Source organism: Homo sapiens, chromosome X (genome assembly GCF_000001405.40).
Source record: "Homo sapiens chromosome X, GRCh38.p14 Primary Assembly".
Taxonomy (NCBI): Eukaryota; Metazoa; Chordata; class Mammalia; order Primates; family Hominidae; genus Homo; species Homo sapiens.
Genome location: NC_000023.11, coordinates 154,579,654 through 154,587,715, shown reverse-complemented (window position 1 = coordinate 154,587,715; position 8,062 = coordinate 154,579,654). Strand labels below are relative to the sequence as shown.

Here is an 8,062-nt window from a genome sequence, read left to right as displayed (position 1 = left end):
CACACCACCACACCCTGCTAATTTTTTCTTTTCTTTTCTTTCTTTTTTTTTTTTTTTTTTGAGACAGAGTCTTGTTCTGTTGCCCAGGCTGGGGTGCAGTGGCACCATCTCGGCTCACTGCAACCTCCACCTTCCAGGTTCACGTGATTCTCCTGCCTCAGCCTCCCAAGTAGCTGGGATCACAGGCACACACCACCACGCCTGGCTAATGTTTTTTTGTTGTTGTTTTTTTGTGTGTGTATTTTTAGTAGAGATGGAGTTTCACTATGTTGGCCAGGCTGGTCTCCAACTCCTGACCTCAGGTGATCCGCCCGCCTCGGCCTCCCAAAGTGCTGGGATTACAGGCATGAGCCACCGCACCCGGCCTTTTAATGATTTTTCTACAGACAGAATCTCGCTACATTGCCCAGGGTGGCCTCCAACTGCAGGTCTCAAGCCATCCTCCCGCTTCAAGCCTCCCACAGTGCTGGAAATACAGGTGTGGGCCACCATGCCCAACCCATATCACATGCTTAACAGTGATATGATAATGCTGGTTCTATGCATCTATTCAAGTACGTTTTCAAAGAATTTTTCCCAAGTAAAAAAGCTCATATGTTCAATGAAAACAATTTGGGAAAAAATTTAATGCTGACCTGGAAAAACATTATATATGCTACTGTCATATATTTAACATATAAATGCAAGTATATTGAGGAAAATATTCTAAAATGTCCACAGTAGTTAATGCTGAATGGCGGGACCCAGTGGCTTTTCATTTTCCCCCATTTCCCAAATTGCCTCCCGTTACCTTGTGCTACTTCAATCTGTGAATCCCAGAGCCTCCCCTGCAACCCGAGGACAAGGGCATGCAAGTCCGAAGGTGCCTTCGCTCGCCGAAAAGAGACTCAGACACGGAATCGTAGCTCAGTTTTATTTTCTACAGAAACAAACATGTAAGCCGTCCTCCTCCAGCGACAAACAATCAGGCCCCCACAATGAACTGGCCACTCGTGCTGGGACCATTCCCTAGGGGAGGAGGCATGACCTAGGAAGGGGCGCCAGGCTGGGCTTAGCGCCTCTGCCCTGAGGGAGGCTGAGCCAAAAACACGGGCAGAAAGCACTGCGTGATCCACATCAACAGGGAAAGCTGCTGGAGACAGGAGCTGATGGAGAGCTGCAGTTGGCGGTGGTCTGCAGCAGTCAGTCGGCTAAATGTGAGGGGCAGAGAACATCACGTTAAAGGCGACACCTCTGCACCCATCTCCCTGGGCTCCCTCGGGTGGCGGCGGGCCTGGTGTACCAGGTCTCTGTTCTGAGACCCTGTGCTGGGGTGTTCCCAGGTTTCTAGCAGCCTGACCGTGGGGTGTAGGCGGATCCCAGCCCCCACCCTGCCACGCTGTGACCGCCACCCACCCAGGCCCCATCCCTGTCCTGGTCCTGAACTGACATAGTCAGTATGTTGCCGGACACAGTGAACTCCTTCAGAAGCACCCCTGGCACGGGAAGCGGTGGGGCATCCTGGGCCAGGCTCCTGCGGGCCAGCTCTGCTTCCATGGGTGTCGCGAAAGGCATGGCGAGGTAGCTGGTGGGGGCCCAGTTAAGGCATCCTCTCCTAGGACTTGGCCTGTGGCTCCGGCCTGCTGCTTACCCCAGGCCAGCTTCCCCCTCCCCCACTCCCCCACCCCTCCCCCCTACCCCGGATTGCCCAGCCCATCCCCCCCAGGCTGTCTCCCCAGGCACTGGCCCAGTAGCACACCCCACCCAGCTGTCTTGGTTCCCCACTTTCCTTTGCTGCACCCCAAGCTGACTCCTCCATGCCCTTACAAGACCCCTCCCCACCCTGCCCCCTGTGGCATCACCCGGCCCCCTCCTCATCACTCGACCCTCCATCCCAACCACCTCCCGCCACCCGCTCCCATCTTGCCCCCTTCCCCCCACCTCCTGATCCCCTCCTACACCTGGGTCCCCCTATCTCCTGGCCCCTGCTCCCCTCCCCGCATGACCCGGTGCCCCTCACCCAATCACCCAGCCCCTCTCCCCCACCCCCACCCCCTCTACCTCCCAGCCCTTACCTCCTCCCCTCCTCGCAGCTGGCCTCTCATATCCCCACCTCCCAACCCCCACCCCCACCCCCACCCAACCACTTACTCGCATCTCCCCCGCCTCCTCCCCCACCTGGCCCTGCCCTCCCCATCTCCCGGCCCCCACCTCGCCACCAGAACTGTCAGAACAGAACAGAACAGAACAGAACAGAATACAACTCAAGCAGGCGGCTCTCCGGCCCCCTGGCCCCGCATCTGCAGCATCCATTCAGCCCTGAAGCCGCGCCGCCATGCGGACCCCGCGGGGCGCCTCCTCCCGGCCCCGAGGCCCTTGCTGCCCCTGCGCCCCGGGGACCTCTGCCGCCCGTGGCACCCGCCTCTCCTGGGCCGCCAGCATTGCCCCCTGGGCCATCAGGAATGCCAGGGCCTCCTGGGCCATCAGCATCGCCCGTCGAACCCCCTGTGCCCCGGCCTTCGGCCTGCATGGCTCCGGAGCCTCTGCCCGGCTCTCAGAGAGAAGGTCAGGGCCCACGAGGATGCGGAGGCAGAGAGGCTGCAGGAAGTTCCGCCCCCTGGCGTGAGATGGGCAGCCCGGGATCCTCAGGGCGCCTGCGCACAGGGGCCCTACTTCCGGCCCTGGGAGACCCCGAGTGAGCCCCGGAGCACGTGACCGGTTCTCACCAACCCCGCCCCTCCCCAAGAGAGCCCGGGCCGGAAGGTGGCCGCAATGCCAGCTTGGACCCCTCACCCCTGAGCAGCCGGCTGTCCGCCGGACCCCTGTCCCGGGAGCCCTGCAGGGAGTCAGGCACTGCGGGGCCCAGCCTGTCCCATCCCCCGGGTCTCCCTCACATCGAGGAGCAAGACGGGCCTGGGAACACGGGGCCGGGACTGTGCGGCCATCGTCCCGGACCCTGCCTGCCCTGTCCGTCCTTGGGGGAGCGCCCAGGACAGACCCCGGGGGGCAGGCCTCTAACTGGGCTCAGCAGCCTCCGTCCCTGTCCTGGTCGCCCAGCTGGTGGGGTAGCTGGAACTGCATGTCTGGTGGGCGTGGCCTCGCGCCAGCCAAGGTCTCCCAGGCGCCAGGTCCAGCCAAGGTGGACGGGAGGGCCCAGCGGGACCCGGGGCCGGATCTCACTCCTGGGTTCAACGGGTTCTGTCCCTGTCCTAGTCGCCCCGCCTGGTGGGGGAGCTGGAGCTGCGTGTGGGGTGGGTTGCGGGTGGCCTCCCACCAGCCAGGGGCTCCCGGGCTCTAGGCCTGGCCCAGGTGGACAGGCGGGACCTGCTGGACCTGAGGCTGGGTCGGGCCTGGCTCCTGGGTTCGGCAGTATCAGTCCCTGCCCTGGTCGCTCTTGCCTGGTAGGGAGCTGGGAGGTGACCCTGTGTCTGCTCAGTGGTGATCTATTTGTGTGTCTGGAAGGGGGTCAAATCCACGGGACAGGTACCTCTAGAGGCATGCAGGGGTGAGGGCGGCACGGCCCCGGGAGCTGAATGTCTGTGCCAGGCACACCTGTAGCAACAGGAGGTGACCAGACAGGGCCTAGCCCTGAGGAAGGGGGAGGTACTGAAATCCAAACCACTCTCCCCCACCTTCCAAATCCAGGAATCAGCAGCCTCTGCACCTGGGAAAAGCATATTGGCACTCATGTGGAAACTAAAAACGTTGATCTTTTGGAGGTAGAGCAGAATGATGGTTACCAGACGCTGGGAAAGGTGGGGAGGGTGGGGAGGTTAATGGGGACAAACATATAGTTGCATAGAAGGATTAAGTTCTAGTGTTTGATAGCACCGTAGAGGGACTATAGGTAATTATTTATTGTATATTTCAAAATAGCTAAAAGATAGGAAATGTTCCCCAAAAAAAGAAATGATAAATGCTTGAGGTGGTGGAGATCCTAAATACCCCGACTTGATCATTACATCGTGTGTGCGTGTGCATGTATCAGAATATCACATGTATCCCATAAATATGCAGAGTTATCATACATCAGTTAAAAATGTTTTTACTTACAGAAAAGAAAAATTCACCCAAGCTCTTGCGTGTACCTCCAGTTTATTATTTTCACTGCTGTATTTCATTACATATATTTCATTAAATGATGAATTTTAAAAACCAGAGAACACAACTTGTTAACACCTGGAATAGCTGAAAATCAGACATAACCCGGTTAGTGATTGCCATCCTTCCTGTCGTCCTCTGCTCAGTCTCCCCATTCTCAGACAGAGGCAGGCTAAAGTTCTTACCTTCAACAGGTCAGGGAAGGGAGAGTAAAGTGCATGTGACCCTGTCTTAGGAAGCAGGAAGACAGAGGGAGGGTCTCCGGGTCCCCATTATTTTCCCGGCCTATTATCCTCAGATCAAGTCAAGAAAGGAAGTCCTAACTGACTGAGAGATTCCTGGAGATACTGCCACTGTCCTGGAAGTCTCAGCCAGCCACTGGACCGGAAATCTCCATCAATATTTCAGCCAGAGCAACGTCTGCCACTAGATGGCATCAAACTCCAGCCGGGAGCAGGACAGATTTGGATGGTCCAGCGGGCTTGCCTCATTCATTTCATTAACCCCACAGTAACACATTTTCACATTGTATGCGATTGGATTTCTTGGAAACTACCTATTACATTACGGCAGAGTTTTATAGTCCTCTAATTTATCCATTCTGCTGATGATGGGCAGGCATTTGGATAGTTTCCAGCCCTTGGCTATGAACATGCTTGTACAGGTCTCTTGAAGCACATGTCCAAGTTTTTTTTTGGAATTGCTGTATCACAGCCAATACATATCTCGAAATTTACTAGATAATGCCATGTTTTCCCAAGTGGTTTGAGCCAATTTTCGCTTCCACCATAATGTGTCAGCGTACATACACATAGCTCAACATTCTCATCAATATTGACGGTACTAATCCGTTCTCGCATTGCTATAAAGGACTACCTAAGACTGAGTAATTTATAAAGAAAAGAGGTTTAATTGACTCACAGTTCTGCAGGCTCTACAGGAAGCATGGCTGGGGAGGCCTCAGGAAAGTTACAATCATAGCGGAAGGCAAAGAGGAAGGAGGCACATCTTATATGGCCAGAGAAGGAGAAAGAGAAAGTGAAGGGGGAGGTGCTATACACTTTTAAACAACCAGATCTTGTGAGAGCTCAACATCACGAGAATAGCAAGGGGGAAATCGACCCCCATGATCCAATCGCCTCCCACCAGTCCCCTCCTCCAACACTAGGGATTACAATTCAACATGAGATTTGGGTGGGGACACAAATCCAAATCATATCATTCCACCCCTGCCCCCTCCCAAATCTCATGTACTTCTCACATTGCAAAATACAATAATCTCCTCTCAACAGTCCCCCAAGTCTTAACCCATTTCAGCATTAACTCAAAAATCCACAGTCCAAAGTCTCAACTGAGACAAGGCAAGTCCCTTCTGCCTATGAGCCTGTAAAATCTAAAACAAGTTAGCTACTTCCAAGATAAAATTGAGGTACAGGCATTGGGTAAATACTCCCTTTCCAAAAGGGGGACATCGGCCAAAACAAAGGGGCTACAGGCCCCATGCAAGTCCAAAACCCAACAGGACAGTCATTAATTCTTTTTTTTTTTTTTTCCACTACAAAATAATTTATTCGAACACACAGCTACAGCGCGAGACTCCTATGTACAAGCACATTGACGCTCCTGACTACCCTCAACTAGAGGACCCTTTTCTTCCCCCTTGCCTTGCAGACCTCTTCTATCGAATCTTTCATGTACTGGATCTCCTCGGCCAGGGAATCCGCCCTCTCTTGCAGAGCCTCGTTCTTCTTTTCCACCGCTTTGCACTCACCAGTGAGGACCTCCTGCTCCACCCTCTTCTTCTGGCGATACCTAGTTCCTGCTGTTTGGTTTTGCTCCATTTTTTTTTCAGCTTCTTATCCAGTTTCTCACCCTTTACTTGTGCTGCTACCATCTTCTCTCCAGGAGGGTCATAAGGTTTGGGGCAGGCAGAGCCACAGAGGACACCTGGAGATGGCGGGCTCCTACTCGGAGAGCCCCTGGAGGTAGAGGGAGAGCCCAGATAGGACTCTGGGCTCATACAGATGCCACTATCATTATCTGAGGGGGCGTCTTCCTCCTTTGTGCAGTGAGGGATCTTGGAAATGTAAGCAGTGGAGTCTGGCTTCCTAGCTCCTTCAAAGATATCCACTTCACTGCCCAGCTCTAGACTAAAGGAATAATCTGGAGTGGAGGACTGGACCCCTGGGGAAAGGGGAAGAGGTTGCAAGAAGGTGAAGGGGGCAACCTGGTCGGGTTAAACTTTCTGGGAGATGGCAAATCGGGTTCACCATCTGGGGGGGGCTCCTTAATAGTCTCCTGGACTGGGGGGGCTCCTTAATAGTCTCCTGGACTAGGGGGGCAAAGAGATCACACGAGTCATCCAACGTGGCCAGAAGCTCGTCTGGCATGGTTTCCAGGTCATCTATACCCAACAGGGCATCAAAGTCGAACTCCTTCAGATCAGTTTTCTCCAACATCCAATCTGTCCCAAAGAAAGCATCCTCCTTGCCATCGTTGGAGGCACTGACCAACCCATCCACAGCCAGCCACTCGGAGGAGTCTGCCTTAGCCTTGTCGCTGGAGAACCCATGAGGTTTGAAGTGCTTGGCCACCTCCAGGTAGTCATCTAAGAGACCTAGGCTTTCTTCAGTCCCCAAACCTGACTGGTCAAGGGGGGACATCAAGCCCCCACCAACACCTCGCTGCTCAGGAAGCTCATCTCGGTCATGGTGCAGTGCTTTGCTGGAATCAACGAATGTGCTTAATTCGAAGGTGTCTTTGTCGGTTACAGCAATGCTGCTGCTGAATGCTGTGAGAAGTGCTACGGCTTAAGCCGCCGGTGGATGCCACTGCAGAGCCTGGTGCTGCTGCCACCGCTGCAAAGGCCAAGGCTGCCACAGGCACTGCTGCCCCTAAAACGCCATGGAGGCCATGGACCCTGCAGGCGGGGAGGAGGGAAGGTGCGCACGTGCGGAGGAAACTACATCTGTGGGCGGGCGGAGCAGAAAATCGTCATTAATTCTTAAAGCTCCAAAATAATCTCCTTTGGCTCCATGTCTTACATCCAGGCCACACTGAGGCAAGGGGTGGGCTCCTGAGGCCTTGGGCAGCTCCGCTCCTGTGGCTCTGCAGGGTACAGCCCCCTCGGCTGCTTTCCTGGGCTGGTATTGAATGTCTGCAGCTTTTCCAGGAGTATAATGCGAGTTGTCAGTGGATCTATGATTCGGGGGTCTTGAGGATGGTGGCCCCCTTCTCACAGCTCCACTAGGCAGTGCCCCAGTGGGGACTCCAACCCCAGATTTCCCTTCTGCACTACGCTAGTAGAGGTTCCCCAGGAGGGCTCCGCCCCTGCAGCAGACTTCTGCCTGGACATTCAGGCGTTTCCATACATCCTCTGAATCTAGGCAGAGGTTCCCAAGCCTCAACTTTTGCCCTCTGCATACCCGCAGGCTTAACACCACATGGAAGCCACCAAGGCTTACAGCTTGCACCCTCCAGAGCAGCAGCCGGAGGCGTATCTGGGGCCCTTGTAGCCATGGCTGGAGCTGGAGCAGCTGGGGCGCAGATAGCAGTGTCCCGAGGGTGCTCAGGCCAGCAGGGCTCTGGGCTGGGTCCAAAAAACCATTCTTCCCTCTTCAGCCTCCAGGCCTGTGAATGACCCTCAAAAAATTAAAAATAGAACTACCATATGATCCAGCTCTCCCACTTCTGGGTATAGATCTGAAGGAAATGAAATCTATTTCTTCCTGAGTCAGTTTTCATGGTTTGTACATTTCTAGGAATTTGTCCACTTCATCTAGGTTATCTAATTTGTTGGCAAACAATTGTTCACAATCTTCTCATGTAATCCTTTTTGGGGGTAGAAGAATTCAGTAACAATCAACAAAATGAAAAGGCAACCTGCAGAATATTGAGGAATAACATATTGTTCACATCTTATCAATATAATAAAATATGTGCATTTTGTGGGGGCAATAATAAATACTCTCAGTTTTTTCCT

General features: G+C 54.0%; 1 protein-coding gene and 1 pseudogene across 1 annotated transcript; both read right to left on the bottom strand.

Moving 5' to 3' along the window:
* Positions 1-899: 899 nt before the first annotated feature.
* On the bottom strand, positions 900-2,583 carry CTAG1A (cancer/testis antigen 1A). The gene is made up of 3 exons (NM_139250.2): positions 2,241-2,583; positions 1,430-1,564; positions 900-1,190 (listed from the first exon to the last, which is right to left on the bottom strand). Exons 1-3 carry the CDS (start codon positions 2,507-2,509, stop codon positions 1,052-1,054), a joined length of 543 nt encoding a protein of 180 aa, NP_640343.1. The 5' UTR covers positions 2,510-2,583; the 3' UTR covers positions 900-1,051.
* On the bottom strand, positions 5,630-7,070 carry ATF4P2 (activating transcription factor 4 pseudogene 2; annotated as a pseudogene).